Below are 18,731 nucleotides of genomic sequence, written 5' to 3' on the forward strand. Positions count from 1 at the left end.
CTGTAATCCCAGTACTTTGGGAGGCTGAGGTGGGTGGATCACCTGAGGTTGGGAGTTCGAGACCAACCTGGCCAAAGTGGAGAAACCTCGTCTCTACTAAAAAATATAAAATTAGCCGGGCGTGGTGACACATGCCTGTAATCCCAGCTACTCAGGAGGCTGAGGCAGGAGAATTGTTTGAACCTGGGAGGTAGAGGTTGGCATGAGCCGAGATGGCGCCATTGCACTCCAGCCTGGGCAACAAGATCGAAACTCCGTCTCAAGAAAAAAAAAATTGGGTTGGATAGGATGTGAGTAGAATTGGCCGTTTCTCTTTTCACTCTTCTCTTTACCTCTCAACTGTTAAACTTCACAGTTGAAACATACTTAAATGTTTAATAACCTGGTAAATTGATAAATCAACAAATATGTGTGGAGAATCACTCTGAGTGATCGATGATTGTGAGACGTGTCAGCAATGGTGGGTGTTGGCCAGTGCAAGGAGCTTACTGGTTAGCTTGAGAGTCATGAATGGTTTCCCTGAGGGATAAACAACACACACTATACAGGCAGAAGCCTGGTGGATGGCATGAATACTACACACAGTAGGAGTGTAAAGAGGTGAAGATTACTGGGCACTGGCAAAGTCCACAAGACTGTACTGAGAATCCAGGGCATTATGGACATTAGGCATGGTGAGCAATGTGAGGGATGAGGAAGCTGAGCCTGTTTTGTGAGTTCTGGATGATTGGCATGCCTAGAGGGGCAGATTTCTGTGGGAAAGTATTAGGGACACAGCAGTGAGAATTCAGTGAGAATTACTAAAGGAGAAAGAACATGAAACTCAGAGGTGAAAAGTGAGAGTTTTAGTGCTGAATTTGGCTGGTGAACATAAAGTCATTGACAATTTCAGCTGGAAAAAACTTTGGAGATCATCTGGTATAATAGTCAACACATTGATAGATAAGGAAGCTCAGACTGAATGTTAGGGTTTATCCTAGATGACTCCTACTTAGTGGCAGAGCTGGGAGACCCCCCTTTCCTATTCTGTCTCTACTCTTTCAGACAGTCACCAGGAAGGATGGTTAGAGCTTGAACACTGTGTATACTCTGGAGCTCTTCTTGTCTTGGATTGGTGTCTGTTGAGGCCTCTGCTGGTCAGAAGGGCATTTCCCCTGCAACCCAGCCTTGCCTGCAGGTTTACAGAAGGGCTTTGATAAGGTATATCTATTGGAAGCCCAGTTCCTGCTTTGGGCCTGCTGTTTTCCATTTCACAAAAAGGAATATAAAGATAATCTAGATTTCATCTTTATTATAATTTTGTAAGATATAAAAGCCTGTGTTTTTTTTCTGGGGTGAATTTATAAATAGAGTAGAAAGATTCAAGTAATTCTTGTCAGAAAGGAACCATTCATCTACAACTTCTCCTAGAATCTGTTTTACAGATGATCAAAAATATGGGGCAGTGTTTCTGTACCAAAATTTTTTTTAGTGTTTTCCTTATTACAGCAAAAAATGTAAAACAACTTACATGTTACAAAGGAGAAATACGGATACAAATTGTTAAAGCCATGAAGTAATATGTACAATAAAATGTTAAGAAAATGTTTGTAACACAGTGGTATGTGAGGAAACCAGGATAACCGTGTATAGATATATCTCCAAGATTTTGGAATGCCCACTCTGGATTTCCAGTATTGCTTACAATCTCCCTCATAATTCATTCACTTGCCCAAGGGTAGAGAGCAGCAGGTCTGGCTGAGATGAGGGAGGTCGTGGAGCTGCTTCCCACACCCCAGCATCCTAGTATGGTTTCTTCAAAATAAGTCACCAGCTGTCAGTGGGCTTTTGGGGGGTCACTGGTGCAGAGTTAGAGTCATGAATGCCAGGAGTCTGATTCTAAATATATGCTAGTTACAACAAGTTTTTAAGAGAAAGATGTCACTAAAATGATAAAATGGTTTTCTCTTCTTTGCAGATTTATATATTTGATATTTTAAAGTTTACTTTCCAAATGTCCTATAATGATGAAGTATAGTTTAATATTTAGGAGAATTATTGTTAGTTTTCCTTTTCCATTGAAGGAATAATGTGCCTATGTGTATGATCCAGAATTTTATTCTGTGAAGAATGAAGAATGAAAATGAGGCCACTGGAAGTACCTTAGGCTGTTTTTCTTTATGAAGAATAAAAGGGAAACTCAGTAGCACCAGCCCTCTGCCATGTGTTATGAGAGTGTGTTAAATCTGACATTGCTTTAAGAAATAGCAGCTGTAGAGAAAATGAAGCAAGGTGGAAAAAACCAACAACTGGGAGAAACTGAAGGAAAAATCACAGAGTGGTATAGAGGAATTGGGAAGAACAGGTATATTCTTTATTTAAACTGGGATTTTCCAGGTATTAGTGGTTAAGAAAAGGCTCAAGTACAGCCCATACTTTGCTACCATTCAAGAATTAAGTGGTACTCACTTTTCCTTTTGTTAGATCACGTTAGTGTCATAGACTCTGTTATTTTTTTTCTTATTTTAATCCACTAGTCAGTGGGGGAAGCGGGGATCTGTGGATTTTACTATCGAAGAAATATATCAGTCAGACAATATTCTGCTGCCAGTAATAAAGACCTCAGAATCAGTGGCTGAAACAAATTGGGCATTTAGTTTTCTTTCATGTAAAAATTTGAGGTAAGTAGCCTGGGGCCAGTGTGTTGGTTCCATGATGTCATTATAGACCCATACTCCTCCCAATTCTTCTGCTTTCTTTATGATGAGATCTTTTTTATTTTTATTTATTTTTTTTGAGACAGAGCCTCACTCTGTCGGCCAGGCTCACTGCAACCTCCGTCTCCCTGGATCAAGTAATTCTCCTGCCATAGCCTTCCCAGTAACTGGGATTACAGGTGTGTGCCACCACGCCCAGCTAATTTTTGTATTTTTAGTAGAGATGGGGTTTCACCATGTTGGCCAGGCTGGTCTCGAACTGCTGACCTCAGGTAATCCAGCCAACTCGGCCTCTAAAGTGCTGGGATTACAGGTGTAAGCCAGCGCACCCGGCCTATGATGAGATCTTTACCCTCATGTTTTCCTGGTAGATGCCTGAGCCTAATAATCATGTCTGAATGTCTCATGGAAGGAAGAGGGAGGAAGAGTGAAGGGCACAAAGGGCTTGTGCCTGCTGAGGTAGTCCTTCAAAGCTCTATTCTGGAAGCTCTACTCAGTGATGACCGCTGACCTTTCGTTGGCCAGAAAGAACCCTGTACTGTGACCATCCTTAGCTGCAAGAGAAGCTGGAAATGCAGTTTTCATTCAGCTATATTGCTCTTTCAATTAAATGAGGTCCATTAGTAAGGAAGGTGAAACTAGATCCTGAGTACTTAGGCAGTCTCTGCCATAAAAGCTTATTATAAGACATGATGACTTTGAGATGCTGTGTTATACTGTATTATATACAGTTTAAATAGTTGAATTTGTCGGCTGGGTGCGGTGGTCATGCCTGTAATCCCAGCACTCTGGGAGTCTGAGGCGGGTGGATCACAAGGTCAGGAGATCGAGAGCATCCTGGCTAACACGGTGAAACCCCGTCTCTCCTAAAAAAATACAAAAAATTAGCCGGGCGTGGTGGTGGGAGCCTGTAGTCCCAGCTACTCGGGAGGCTGAGGCAGGAGAATGGTGTGAACCCGGGAGGCGGAGCTTGCAGTGAGCTGAGATTGCGCCACTGCACTCCAGCCTGGGCGACAGAGTGAGACTCCGTCTCAAAAAAAAAAAAAGTTGAATTTGTCAAGGGGCTTAATAGTCTAGAAAATATGAATAAAGTAGTATAGATTATTCTTTTTCTTTTTTTTCTTTTTTTTTTTTTTTGAGGTGGAGTCTCGCTCTGTCACCCAGGCTGGAGTGCAGTGGTGCAATCTCAGCTCACTGCAAGCTCCGCCTCCTGGGTTCACGCCATTCTCCTGCCTCAGCCTCCCGAGTAGCTGGGACTACAGGCGCCCGCCACCATGCCCAGCTAATTTTTTGTATTTTTAGTAGAGATGGGGTTTCACCATGTTAGCCAGGATGGTCTCGATCTCCTGACCACGTAATCCACCCGCCTCGGCCTCCCAAAGTGCTGGGATTATAGGCGTGAGCCACTGTGCCCGGCCTTTTTTTTTTTTTTTTTACGGAGATGGAGTTTTGCTCTTGTTGCCCAAGCTAGAGTGCAATGGTGCAATCTCAGCTCACTGCAACCTCTGCCTCCTGAGTTCAAGGGATTCTCCTGCCTCAGACTCTGTAGTAGCTGGGATTATAGGCACCCACCACCTTGCCTGGCTAATTTTTGTATTTTTTTTTTTTTAGTAGAGATGGGGTTTCACCATGTTGGCCAGGCTGGTCTTGAACTCCTGACCTTAGGTGATCTGCTTGCCTCGGCCTCCCAAAGTGCTAGCATTATAGGTGTGAGCCACTGTGCCTGGTCGTAAAGTAGTATAGATTATTGTGTTTTAAATTTTTCATATGTAAAGGTACCTTGATGGTTCTGAGCATGGGATATGGCTGTTTTAGTATATGTTGAGATAATTGATCTCCTTTAAAGGGGGGCTTCATATGGTTTGGGCCCCTTTAGGATTTTCTACAAGAGCCATCTGTAGATATGTAAAATAAAATTAATATTTCTATTTAGCCTATTTTTTTTAAAAAACAGAATGCATATCTGTGAGTATATCCTGCACTTCCTCTATGCCAGTATTTTTAAAAACATCTTCTTGACAGGGAGTCTTTTAAAAAAAATAGAAAATGTAGTTACCAAAGTACTGACTTTCCTAGATATTGGGAGATAGAGGGAAGTTTCTCCCTCCCTGATGATATAAAAAGTGTGTAGTCAGAGTTGACTTACTGGTTTATCGTTTGGCCACGTGGCTTCAGAAACAATAGAGCCAGCATGGGTTAGAATTTTCATTCTCACCCTTGAACCCCGGCCCTGTGATTATGAACTGTGAGGTCTTGGCAAGTTATCTGTCTTTGCTGCAGTCCCCTCATTTATAAAACAGTGTTGATAATAGTTGATGGTAGTGTTTAGCTGGCAGGACAAAATGAGGTGACATAAATAAAACACCTCGTACAGGGCCTGCTCCCTGGTATGTACTGAATCAGTGTTAGCTGCTGCAGGTGGCAGTACTAAAGCAAAGCAAGACAGAAGTCTCCAGGCCTTAACGAGATAGTTATTCACTAGCTGATTCTGACCAAGAGAATTGTGAAGAGTTCTGTTCTGCGGTTGCCATTTTAAGTTTGTCCAATCCGCAGCCCAGTGATTTATACTTTTTGACATCTGTCAGAGCCGTGAAGAATGTTTGTTTAGGAGTCACTGCTTAAGAAAATGCCTCTGTCGTTTTTGAGAAATATACCACTATCTTCTTGTCAGTAAGATCCTGCCGTGTGTGGTGCCAGGACAGAAGTGGCCTCATGGGATATGACTCAAGAGATAGTCTTTTTTTTTTTTTTTAAGATAGTCTTGCTCTGTCACCTAGGCTGGGGTGCAGTGATGCAATCTTGGCTCACTGCAACCTCCGTCTTCTGGGTTCAAGCGGTTCTGGTGCCCCAGTCTCCCAAAAAGCTGGGACTACAGGCGTGCGCCACCATGCCCAGTTAATTGTATTTTTAGTAGAGGCAGGGTTTTGCCATGTTGCCCAGGCTGATTTCGGAACTCCTGAGCTCAAGCAATCTGCTCGCCTTGGCCTCCCAAAGTGCTGAGATTACAGCATGAGCCACCCCATCTGGCCGATAGTCTCTTTGTCATGATTTTAAAAATCATCTTGTTGGCCAAGACCACGTCCGCCCCGTGAGCACAGACCCTGGCCCTCACTGCTCTGCTGCCTGTCCACACCCGCTACCAGCTCACCATAGATGATGATATTGCTACGCCCGTCGTCGACAACGGCTCCGGCATGTGGAAGGCTGGCTTCGCAGGTGACGATGACCCCCGGCCGTCTTCCCCTTCATCGTGTGGCACCCCAAGCACCAGGGCATGATGGTGGGCATGGGTCGGAAGGACTCCCATGTGGGCGACGAGGCCTAGAGCAAGAGAGGCATCCTGACCCTGAAGTGCCTCATCGAGCATGGCATCATTACCAACTGGGACAACATGGAGAAGATCTGGCACCACACCTTCTAAAGGGAGCTGCATGTGGTTCCCGAGGAGCATCCCATGCTGCTGACCGAGGCCCCCCTGAACCCCAAGGCCAGCCGCGAGAAGATGACCCAGATCATGTTTGAGACCTTCATCACCCCAGCCATGTACATGGCCATCCAGCCCGTGCTGTCCCTGTACTTCTTTGGCTGTACCACTGGTACCGTGATGGACTCCGGTGACGGGGTCACCCACAGTGTGCCCATCTGCGAGGGATATGCCCTCCCCCACACCATCCTGCATCTGGACCTGGCTGGCCGGGACCTGACTACCTCATGAAGATCCTTACCGAGCGTGGCTACAGCTTCACCACCACGGCTGAGTGGGATATCGTGCGTGACATCAAGGAGAAGCTGTGCTATGTTGCTCTGGCCTTCGAGCAGGAGATGGCCATGGCGGCTTCCAGCTCCTCCCTGGAGAAGAGCTATGAGCTGACTGACGGCCAGGTCATCACCATCGGCAACGAGCAGTTCTGCTGCCCTGAGGCACTCTTCCAGCTTTCCTTCCTGGGCATGGAATCCTGTGGCATCCATGAAACTACCTTGAACTCCATTATGAAGTGTGATGTGGACATCCACAAAGACCTTTACGCCAACACATTGCTGTCTGGCGGCACCACCATGTACCCTAGCGTTGCCAACAGGATGCAGAAGGAGATCACCGCCCTGGCGCCCAGCACGATGAAGATCAAGATCATTGCTCCTCCTGAGCTCAAGCACTCTGTGTGGATTGGCGGCTCCATCCTGGCCTCGCTGTCCACCTTCCAGCAGATGTGGATCAGCAAGCAGGAGTATGATGAGTCCGGCTCCATCATCCATCCTTCAAATGCTTCTAGGCGGACTGTGACTTAGTTGTGTTACACCCTTTCTTGACAAAACCTGACTTGTGCAGAAAACAAGATGAGATTGGCATGGCTTTATTTTTTGTTTTGTTTTGTTTTTGTTTTTGTTTTTGTTTTGGCTTGACTCAGGATTTAAAAACTGGAACGGTGAAGGTGACAGCAGTCGGTTGGAGTGAACATCCCCCAAATTTCTGCAGTGTGGCTGAGGACTCTATTTCTTGTTTGTACATTGTTCTTTTTTTTAATAGTCATTCCAAATATCGTGAGATGCATTGTTACAGGAAGTTGTTTGCCCTCCTAAAAGCCACCCGACTTGTGTCTAAGGAGAATGGCCTAGTCCTCCTCCGAGTCCACATAGGGGAGGTTTCTTGTAAATTAGGTAATGCAAATTTTTTTAAATTTTTGCCTTAATACTTTTTAAGTTTGTTTTATTTTGAATGATCAGCCTTCGTGGCCCCCCTCTTTTGTCCCCCAGCTTGAGATGTATGAAGGCTTTTGGTCTCCCTGGGAGTGGGTACAGGCAGCCAGGGCTTACCTGTACACTGACTTGAGACCAGTTGAATAAAAGTGCACAACTTAAAAAAATCACTGGGTGTGGTGGCTCACGCCTGTAATCCCAACACTTTGGGAGGCTGAGGCGGGCGGATCACCTGAGGTCAGGAGTTCAAGACCAGCCTGGCCAACACGGTGAAAGCTCATCTCTACAAAAAAATGGGAGGCGGAGGTTGCGGTGCGCCAAGATCATGCCATTGCACTCCAGCCTGGGGGACAGAGCAAGACTCTGTCTCAAAAAAATAAATAAATAAATCAGCTTGTTGAAATCTTAATATTTGATTTATATATGTACAATATATTTAAGTTTTAAAGCATAATGATTTTGAATATCCCAAACTCACCATGCAGTCAACAACTACAACATTAACAGCACTGCTCAGGGACCAACCACTCTTTTTTAGTCCTTTCCTGCTATGCCACCCCCATCACTCTGGGGTGGCCTGAATTTTGTGTTTGATTTCTTGCCTTGTAAAAAATAGTTTTCTCATGCATGCACGTATTTTAACACAATATGTTTAGTTTGGCTTATTTTTGACCTTATTAAAAATAGTATCACTTTGTGTAGTTTTCTGGGTCTTTGATATTTTTCACCTAACAGTATTTCCCAGTTGATCCATATTATTTTGTAAGCTATTGTAATGTTCATTCATTTTCTTTGCTGTATAATATTCTACTTTGTGAATTTACAACTTTTTTTTTATTCTGCTGCCAGTGAACATTTTCTTTCTTTTTTTTTAAAAATAAATATTGTTGCTGTGAACACATCCCATACATGGTACCTGATGTACATGTGTAAAAGTTTCTCAAAGGTATTTACGTAGGAATGGAAATGCTGGCTCATAGAGTATTTAACTTTACCAGATACTGTTGAATTGCTTTTCTAAGAGTTTGTATCACTTTATATTCCTTTAGCACTGTATATCATTTTTGTTTTTTTAAGACAGGGTCTTGCCCTGTCAACCAGGCTGGAGTGCAGTGGTACGATCTTGGCTGACTGTAACCTCAGATTCTTGGGCTCAAGTGATCGTCCCACCTCAGCCTCCTGAGTAGCAGGGACCACAAGCTTGCACCATCATACCCAACTAATTTTTGTATTTTTTGTCGAGATGGGGTTTCGCCATGGTGCCCAGGCTTATCCCAAACTCCTGGACTCAAGTGATCGCCTGCCTCAGCCTTCCAAAGTATTACGATTACAGGCGTGTGCTACTCTGCCCAGCTTATAATCATTATTAAGACAGCTTTATTGAGCTATAATTTATACAATACAAAATTCACCCATTTTAAGTGTATACTTCAGTGATTTTCGTGCAGCCATCACCAGTCTAGTCGCAGAACATTTCCATCAGCTTTAAAAGCTTCTTCATGCTGATCCAGTCTTCACGCTTAATATCTTACTACTTGATGTCATTCTTGTGCCTGTAAAATATGTTATGTGAATTTGCACCTCTCTGATTAAAAATGGCTTAGAATATCTTTTCATGTCTTTATCGGCCATTCATATTCCTGTCTTTATGAACTGTCCTCTATTTTTCTATTAGATCTTTTGGCTTTTTCTTTATTTGGAATTCTTTATTCTGGATACCAAAACTATCCCAGTTATATTTGTTGAATTATTTGCTCTAGTTGTGGCTATTCTTTTCACTATTTTGTTTGTCTTATTTACAATGTCTTTTAATGAACAAATGTCTTAATTTTAATTTTAATAGATTTTTACTATTTTATTTAGTTTTTTTGTATTTCTCATTGTTCCTGGACTGATTAGATTCTGTCTTATAATGTTGCATATTCTATCCTCAGTATTGCTTAACTTACCTTTCAGACTTTCAATCTCATTGTATTTCTGTACTGTACTATGTTAATGTCCTAAATATTATATTCTGGTTAACTACTTTTTTTGCTTGTTAATACTGGTTAACTGTTTCTCTTATTTAACTCTTTCACTGAGTTTTTAGTTTAATAATGATATATTTCTTTTCTAGGAGTTCACCTCTCCTTCAGGTTGGACTGGACATTCCAAATATTTTATTTTTCTTTGCTTGTCTTAGCAATTCCGTCTTTTATTTCTTTAAACATTTCTTATTCCTTGACGACAGAATAAGACAACTCAATATTAGTGGTCCTGCTTGAGGGGCTGGTCTGAACAATTTGTTCATTATTTGCGCTATCTCTCTGCAGTGTTGGCTTTCTTCCCGGTATGCACAGTGATCTTTGCTTGTATGCGTAGACTTGATGTTAATTTGTGGAATAATTCTGGATCTAAATGTATGATTCTTTTCTCCCAAGAGGATTGGAGTTATTTCTGCCTGGAACCAGGAAACTCCATTAACTTCACACTATCAGTAGTCTAGACTCAAGGTGGGAGTCTCAAGCTCACTGCAGTCTTTTATTTGACTGGACGTTTTCCCCATTTTTTCTCTGTCCTTTTTGTACTCATATTTGCCTTTATCTTTTTATGTGGCACTTTCACTGCAGAATTATTTTTCTTTCAAAACTTGCTATATGATGGTTGTTGTTGAGAATTCTAAAACAGAAAGCAGTGCTGTAAAATCGTAGGTATTTGGTGTATAAAAATGCAAAAGGGAAAATAGTTTTGTTTTAAAATAAAGATTTAAGGAGTACATTTTTAGAAAGAAGCAGCAAAAAAGCTATCATGTCAAACATTATGATTAACTATAAGCAAAATGTACTGCATACGGATCTATTCTCATTGTGTAAAGATCCAGGGAAATCCTCAGTCTATATTAAAGTGTAGACCAGAACTTTCAATTTAGTTATTAGAAGGCACTGTTTTCTTTTATGGAGAAAAGACTATACACTATGGTGTGAAATGGATTGAATTTTGAAATCTTTAAAGAACTAACCAAATTTTATGTTATTTTTTCTCCATGCGTGTTACCTTTGAAACTTCAAGGGCTTGTTCCAGCTGTATGAATTTGTGGCAGTATTTTACATTAGCCTAGCTTTAAGTTGCCAGCACAGTAGTGGAGTTTGGTGGATGGTCTTTTCTTTAAAGACAAAGTCTTCTAATGTGGGCTTGGATAAGAGTCCTAAAACGGGATGATACAAGTCAAATGAGGAAAGGCATAAATTTGTCTGTTGTTTTCCCTTTGACACAGGGTCTCACTCGGTTACCCAGGCTAGAGTGCAGTAGCGCCATCATTGCTCCCTGCAGCCGTGACCTCCTGGGCTCAAACCATTCCCCCACGTCAACTTTCCTAGTAGCTGGGACTACAGGCGCTTGCCACCACACCTGGCCAGTTTTTTTTTTTTTTTTTTTTTCTGGTAGAGATAGGGTCCCACTGTGTTACCCAGGCTGGTTTTAAAGTCTCAGACTCAAGCAATCCTCCCGCCTCGGCCTCCCAAAATGCTGGGATTACAGGTGTGAGCCACCACGCCTGGCCAAATTTGTCTTTTTAAAATTCTTAAAAATGAGTGTTTTTTACTTAAAATTTTAAAGTGTTTTTACACTTAAAAATTAAGACATGTGGCTGGGCATGGTGGCTCGTGCCTATAATCTCAGCACTTTTGGAGGCCGAGGCAGGAGGATCACTTGAGGTCAGGAGACCAGCCTGGCCAACATGGTGAAACCCTGTCTCTACTAAAACAAATAAAAATTAGCTGGGTGTGGTGGCATGTGCCTGTAATCCCAGCTACTCAGGAGACTGAGGTCAGGAGAATCGCTTGAACCTGGGAGGTGGAGGTTGCAGTGAGCAGAGATCGCGTCACTGCACTGCAGCCTGGGTGACAGAGTGAGACTCCATCTCAAAAAAATAAAAAGCTTCACATTAATGGGTTAATGAGAAACACCATGTCACAATGCTGAAATATAAAAATGAGACCAATTCCAGTATTTATGAGGGGATTGTTTACAAAGAGCTATGATATACTGGACAGATGATACATTTGCTGTTGAGGAGACTAACTGTTCTGTTATAATTTCCTCTTTTTTTTTGGAGACAGGTCTCACTCTGTCACCCAGGCTGGAGTGCAGTGCCACAATCATGGCTCACTGCAGCCTTGACCTCCCAGGCTAAGGTGCTCTTTCTACCTCAGCCTCCTGAGTAGCTAGGGCTACAGGCGGGTGCCACCATGCCCAGCTAATTATTGTGTATTTTATAGAAATGGGGTTTTGCTATGTTGTCCTGGCTAGTCTTGAACTCCTGGGCTCAAGCTATCTGCCTGCCTTGGCCTCCTGAAATGCTAGGATTACAGGCACGAGCCACTGAACCTGGCCTTTGTTCTAATTTTCTCTTTTTCTTTTTTTTGTCTTTTTTTTGAGACAGAGTCTCACTCTGTCGCCCAGGCTGGAGTGCAGTGGTGGGATCTTGGCTCACTGTAACCTCTGCCTCCCAGGTTCCAGTGATTCTCCTGCCTCAGCCTCCCGAGTAGCTGGGACTACAGGCGTCTGCCACCACGCCTGGCTAATTTTTGTATTTTTAGTAGAGGCGGGGTTTCACCATATTGGCCAGGCTGGTCTCAAACTTCTGACCTTGTGATCCGCCCCCACTTCGGCCTCCCAAAGCATTGGGATTACAGGCATGAGCCACCGCATCCAGCCCTCTGTTCTAATTTTCAAATAAGGAGTCCTGTAAGTTACTGACTGGGCACCTTCCTTTCATCTGTAAAATGAAATGATGTTTTGCTTTTGTTTTCCTAGCATGGGGGTTATCCCACCTCTTGTTTCTTTCCAATTCTATGTGAGATGGTGGTGCATGCCATGTTGTTAGGTAGAAGACATGTCCCCAGCTCTACAGTTAGCAAGCTTTGAGAGAGGCAATTTAAATGGGTGCTAGCTATGTCAGCCCTTGGAAAGACCAAGAGCACATCTAAATGTAACTTGGTGATGGCATTTTTGTGGTGGAAGAAAGACTGTAGTCCTGCCCATCTGTATATTCTTTTTGATGACTTCGTTAAGTTACGGGGTAGACCTGGAAACTTGAGAATCTTTAACAGGTTCTTTCAGTATTTTCTCAGATTCTTACAGAATCTAGGTGGCAGATCTTTTTTTAATAATTGGATTTTCTAATGAAGTGGTAGTTCCCCCTGTGAATTCTTGAATTTCAAAAATTTTTATTGGTCATTATTGGCCCAGTTTGGAGTTGGCTCTGTGGCACTGAAACTCAGGAGAAAGATGGGGGCTCATAGCTTTGTTTGGAAATCAGCCACATGAGGATAATATTGAAGGTGCTGAGGGTGACAGCAGGAAATGGGAAGGATGTTGTTGAGGATGGAATATAGAGTGATAACTGTGAAGATATGGAAAGACTTAGCGAGAGAGTGACAGGTTAGTGGTTTTGACCTAATTTTGGGGAACAAGGTTCATATAGACTTTTCCTCTTCTATTATATGGAAAGTACCATAAAAATATGATTAGTAATAATCGTGTGTATCAGTTTATCAATTTTTCTGTAGCCAACTCTGCTTTTATGTACAACAAATGAGAAAGCAGCCCCTAAAATATGCCAGAGTGAAGAACATCTTCACGTTTTGTGTGTTCAGTTGGAAGTGTTTCAGTAATCATCCAGGGCTGCTTCCACAGTCTCCGTGTTGATATTGTAGCAGTTTCTCAGGTTTGTGGGCAAGTGACTATAGCTATTCCACTTGGTGGACAAAGCAGAATGCATGATCAGGCCGTCTTTGGTGCAGTTCACAGAATCATCACCTGTGCCTGGCAAATGGCTAAGTTCTAGCAGACCTTCCCTGCCATTCTGCTGCCTCACAGAGACTTCTCTTAAGAAGTTACACAGTTTTGTTCAGGGCTGTGCTAGATCCTACTTATCCTGGAGCTGGTTATCAGTTTTCTTAATTGCTCAGGCTTTGTGTTTTGCCATTTTACTTTGTTTTTCTTTGGCCATTTGCATATTGATCATGGAACAGAGAGATAAAACATGCTCATAGAGTGGATTCCTGTTAGGTTCCTACCACTTGTATAGTCTCACTCCAGTTACTGGACACATTTATGGAGTAACTGATAGAGCTATTTAGTGTTGGACAAATATATGATTCATTTTAAAGCAGTAAGCTCACAACCACTAACTTCATATTTATAGCCTGTCTCCAAAACTCCTCCTTCCTTTATTCTTTTAAAATTACTGTAATAAGTATGGACTCTTTAATGCCTGCTACATTTTTTGCAGATTTGGCCACAGATTTATTTTCTTTTATCCACATTTCTTTTTTTTTTTTTTTTTTTTTTGAGACGGAGTCTTGCTCTGTCACCTAGGCTGGAATGCAGTGGCATGCGATCATGGCTCACTGCAACCTCGGCTCACTGCAACCTCCGCCTCCTGGGTTCACGTGATTCTCTTGTCTCAGTCTCTTGAGTAGCTGGGATTACAGGCCCACACCACCACGCCTGGCTAATTTTTTTTTGTATTTTTAGTAGAGATGGAGTTTCACCATGTTGACCAGGGTAGTCTAGAACTGACCCCAGGTGATCCGTCTGCCTTGGGCTCCCAAAGTGCTGGGATTACGGACGTGAGCTACTGCACCAGGACTGATCCACATGTTTTTAAAAGTTGGTTAATGTCACATAAAATTGGGATTTGTGGCTTAAAAAAAATCAGAAAATCTGGCAGCATTCCCAGTGACTGAGTAATGGCTGTCTCCTTTAGACAGGATAGTAGGTTGTCTCCAAATACACATCACCCCCAATACCCACGTTTTTTGACATATACCTGGCTGCCTTCACTAATTGCTGTTACCTGCCTGGCTCTTTGGGCACCTGAGTTTGTAAGTCCTGCTTTATTACTCAGCTCTCCACTTCCTGCTGTGTTCTTGTACTCTTTGTTTTTTGTTTTCTTTTTTCTGAGACAGAGTCTCGCTCTGTTGCCCGGGCTGGAGTATAGTGGTGCAGTCTTGGCTTACTGTAACTTCCACCGCCAGGGTTCAAGTGATTCTCGTGCCTCAGCCTCCCGAGTAGCTGGGATTATAGGCATGTGCCACCATGCCTGGCTAATTTTTATATTTTTATAGAGATGGGGTTTCACCATATTGGCCAGGCTGGCCTTGAACTCCTGACCTCAGGTGATCCTCCCATCTCTGCCTCCCAAAGTGCTGGGATTACAGGCATGAGCCACTGTGCCCGGCCTGCTGCCATGCTGTTTGGAACAGGATGCTGACAGCCCTCTTTGAAGTGGAATGGGCTGTGAATCCGTCGAGGTGCCCCTCTAAAAAGCTGTGGTCTGAACCCTCTCCCCATCTTTGAAAATGAAAAATTTAAGCAATTTTTCAAAATATTTTCACTTGTGTTTTGTAATCCTTTCTTTACAACTGTCCTATAAGGTAGGCATGTGTGGATTTATGTACTATTGGGAAGCCTTAGGGCTTTCTCCACTTCTGCTAGGAATAATGTATTTTCTTGAAAACAGTTTCAGTGAAAGACTGGACTTTTCCTGTGGTCCTTTCAAGGTAGCCACAGTCTTCTTGTGGCCCAATTTGCAGCACTGAACCCTGGGCGTAGCTCTGCCATGAAAGGCGATTGAGAAACCATCAGATCCTATAATTGGTGAGTGGTGGAGCCAGCATTTGGTTGGAGAACTTTTGATTCCAGTGCAGCATGGTGCTATTCTGATACTCGGTTACTCTTTCAGATTGAAATTCTTCATTCCATTTTACTGTTTGCTGGGTGAGTGCAGCAGTGACACAGTTTTCAAAAGTTTACTAATAATCTATTTTTTGTCTAAAAAAATCTTTTTTGTAATATTTGATGGACATGCCATCTTTTTCTTTTTGAGACATCTCACTCTGTTGCCTAGGCTGGAGTGCAGTGGCACAATCATGACTCACTGCAACCTCAACTCCCTCCTCAGCCGCCTCCTGAGTAGCTGGGACCTGTGGCATGTGTCACCATACCCGGCTATTTTTTAAAATTTTTGGTAGAGATGAGGTCTCTCTCTTTATTGCCCAGGATCGTCTCAAACTCCTGGGCTCAAGTGTTCATCCTGCCTCAGCCTCCTAAAGTGCTGGTATTACAGGCATAAACCATCATTTTTACGTACTTTTAAAAAAGCTTTTTCTCTGTTTTTCAGTACATTTTATAGTTTTATAACGTTGGATTGAGTCTTCTCTTTTCCTAGTTTTAATCCTTTGGACTATCTTCATTTACAAATATCTTTTGTTTTAAGTTTTTCTAATTTACACTATTTTATTTTTAGTGACATAATCAAATTAAATATGTGTATTTTGACAATAAATGTGACCATTCTCTAGCCACCCCTTCACACACCCCGGGTTCTGAAGTGCATCTCTGATGTGGTCACAGTAATTTTTTGTTTTACTGACTTAAACATTTGCACTACAGTGTTTAGGGAACCGCCTATCATAAGGCTTCCTTTAATATGTTGTCCCACACAGCACTGTTTTACATGATGTAAATGTGTTATACAAACAAGCTTCCGTGGTCAAATGATTTTTGGGAAATGCAGAGTTAAACGAAGTTACACAGGTTTCCTTATGAGTGCTTTTGGGGGTGCCTGTCAGCACTGTGACTGTCTTAAGAGCTAGAGTTAAAGAGGACAAAGTTTTTCGACCTTGGCATCTGATAGGACTGATATTTCTTTTTTTTTGAGATGGAGTCTCGCTTTGTTGCCCAGGCTGAAGTGCAGTGGCATGATCTCTGCTCACCACAACCTCTGCCTCCCGGGTTCAAGTGATTCTCCTACCTCAGCCTCCTGAATAGCTGGGATTACAGGTGTGTGCCACCACACCCGGCTAATTTTTGTATTTTTAGTAGAGATGGGGTTTCACCATGTTGGTCAGCCTGGTCTTGAACTCCTGACCTCAGGTGATCCGCCTGCCTCGGCCTCCCAAAGTGCTGGGATTACAGGCGTGTGCCACTGCGCCCAGCCTAGGACCCATATTTCTAATGTTGCATTGGAAATATTTTGGGAAAAATTGAGCTACTATGATTTTCACATTATTTCTTTCTGTAGGTGGAAATGGCTCATTATTTCTCAAGGTTTCTAACATGGCATGTTGCTGTGTTGTTCCCTTCAGTTTTGCAGAGACTGAGTGCAGTTACTGTGGAGAGAGTCCAGGATGGCCTAGTTGAGACATTGAAGATTTAGGAATGCATTGATTGATTGACTGATTGAGACAGGGTCTTGCTCTGTCATGCAGGCAGGAGTGCAGTGGCGCAATCACTGGCTCACTCTAGCCTTGACCTTCTGGGCTCAATTGATCCTCCCATCTCAGCCTTCCATGTAGCAGGGATTACAGGCGTGAGGCACCACACCTGGCTAATTTTAAAATTTTTTGTAGAGACGGGGTCTCACTGTGTTGCCCAGGGTGATCTTGAACTCCTGGCCTCAAGTGATTCTCCTTCCTTGGCCTCTGAAAGTATTGGGATTACAGGCATGAGCCACTGTGCCTGGCCTACGAGTGCTTTTAAACTGCTGTCTGATTCCTGATAGGAGGAAGATACTATCACTGATTGAAAGGGAATATCCCTAATAAAGTTCTCAGTTACACCTGTGTGCAAAAATCGTGGTCCAATTGTGAGTTGTTTCAGAAAACAGATGCAGGATACGTAAAGGAATGGGGCAGGACAGGCTCCAACTGGGTAATTGGCATGAAAGGAGAAAGGGGCCGGGGCACGTAGACTCCCAGGCTTAGGACTCCAGTTAGTCCATTGGAAGTCAGGTGAGTTATGAATATTGCTCATGTGCCTGCTGAACATGTGTGGGAGAGTTTTGTTCGAGGGAGACAGAATCCAGGAGGAGACTTTTGTCTGTGAACTTGGGCTGGTGTGCAGCCTTTCTGCTGAAACCTGATGGAATTAAGTTTTAAACAGTTCGGCAGATTCTAACTTGTCATTGTGGGGCTTGTGTGTAGCTGGGGTTTGGAGACTGCTTTTACACTAAATCATTCCTGTCACCTGCTCTCAAGTGAAGCAGTCTGCAGTGTAAGCCTTGCTGGTATTTGTGTAGAGTGGCACTGCCTCTGGTGGGAAGAATGCAGCAGCTTCACGTGTTTGCTGCTCCTGAACCTCAGATCTTTGTTGACAATGATGCTGAGAGAAGAGGATGATATGTTGTGTTTTGAAAGGATCAGGACTAGAAGCATAAACCTTTAAAAGGGAAGGTCCAGGAGTCAGATAGATTTAGGTTAATCATTACCATCTACTTCTAGCTAGGAGTGTTAATTTTTTCATTTGTTCATTTGGGAATAACATTACCTATTTTATAGGATTGTTTAGAATAAATGTAAGATACAAGTGTGTATAGTGTAATGAGGTAGTATATTGTATAACACTTCACTTTAATGATAACTAGGTGCATTTTTGGTCTAAGTATATGAGACAGACCTGGTACTGTTCAGAAGAGCCTTTGTGGAGCCTGTTTTTGGAGTCAGATAGCTAGTTTAATAGTAGAGAACAAAAATTGGAGAAAGAATTTTGAAACAATAAGATTTATCTCTGTTGGTTATTCTTAATATTTGCACAACTGCTTAATTGAAATTATATGACTTTTTATTTTAGCAAAATAAATTACTTTTTAGCAACCTTGCCTTGCTGAGAAGAAACTGCTGCAAATATGTTATTTGCCCATTAACGGGGAGAAATTCAGTAGTGAATTTAAACACATTTTATTAAATAATCACTTCTCACATGCTTGACTTGTTTTTTGGGAGGCTTTCCAGTAAGATTTGCTAGAGAATAGTGGTGATATTTATTATATCAGTTCTAATAATTAAATTTTATTTTATTAAAGTTTATTTTCATTAGCTTATTTAGTGCTCCGAGCAACTCTAGGAGGGTACAAGAACCCTTGTGTTTCCATGAAGAAAGACTTGACGCTCAGAAAAGCTCCGTGATTTTCCCCTCAGTGACCTGCAGAGCTGGGGTTATAATCTAGGTCTTTTTGTCCAGCACTATTTGATCTCTACCCTCTTCCCCTCATACCATGGGTCTAGGATGTCAAGGGATTCAACCCTGGTTATTTTTAAAAGATAGTGTCAGTCAGAAATAAAACTTAGATGTCTCCATATGTAGGAATTTTAGAGAAATAGTTTGTGTCTAAATTTGCAAGCTCATTCAGTTTAAAAATGGTTCCTATAATATGGTGCTCATTTATTACTTCAGATTCATTGCTTCACTAATGACTTTTAAATAGGACTCTATTATTAGAGTGATTGGACTGAAGTCTGATTGGACTAGAGTTAAGAGATTGCATCGCTATAAATAGAATGAGATAAAATATTT

At 42.4% G+C, this 18,731-nt stretch overlaps 1 protein-coding gene and 1 pseudogene across 21 annotated transcripts in view, besides 1 other annotated feature; both read left to right on the forward strand.

Moving 5' to 3' along the window:
* KDM4C (lysine demethylase 4C) overlaps window positions 1-18,731 on the forward strand; it is a 454,786-nt gene that overhangs the window by 107,748 nt on the left and 328,307 nt on the right. Inside the window, exon 1 of one of the 21 annotated variants that reach the window (XM_047423026.1) lies at window positions 14,753-15,035. The exons of the other annotated variants lie outside the window; for them this stretch is intronic. The gene's annotated coding sequence lies outside the window, so the exon portion shown is untranslated. Of the gene's footprint in view, window positions 1-14,752; window positions 15,036-18,731 lie in introns of those variants that run through there. 21 annotated transcript variants of the gene reach the window in all.
* ACTG1P14 (actin gamma 1 pseudogene 14) lies at window positions 5,798-6,974 on the forward strand (annotated as a pseudogene).
* Window positions 5,991-6,712: an enhancer, noted in NCBI's record as "H3K27ac-H3K4me1 hESC enhancer chr9:6834601-6835322 (GRCh37/hg19 assembly coordinates)". NCBI's record gives its function as "activates a minimal SCP1, AML or CMV promoter by ChIP-STARR-seq in naive H9 embryonic stem cells {active_cell/tissue: H9 hESC(naive)}" and the evidence as "EXISTENCE:reporter gene assay evidence [ECO:0000049][PMID:30033119]".

Source organism: Homo sapiens, chromosome 9 (assembly GCF_000001405.40).
Source record: "Homo sapiens chromosome 9, GRCh38.p14 Primary Assembly".
Lineage (NCBI taxonomy): Eukaryota > Metazoa > Chordata > Mammalia > Primates > Hominidae > Homo > Homo sapiens.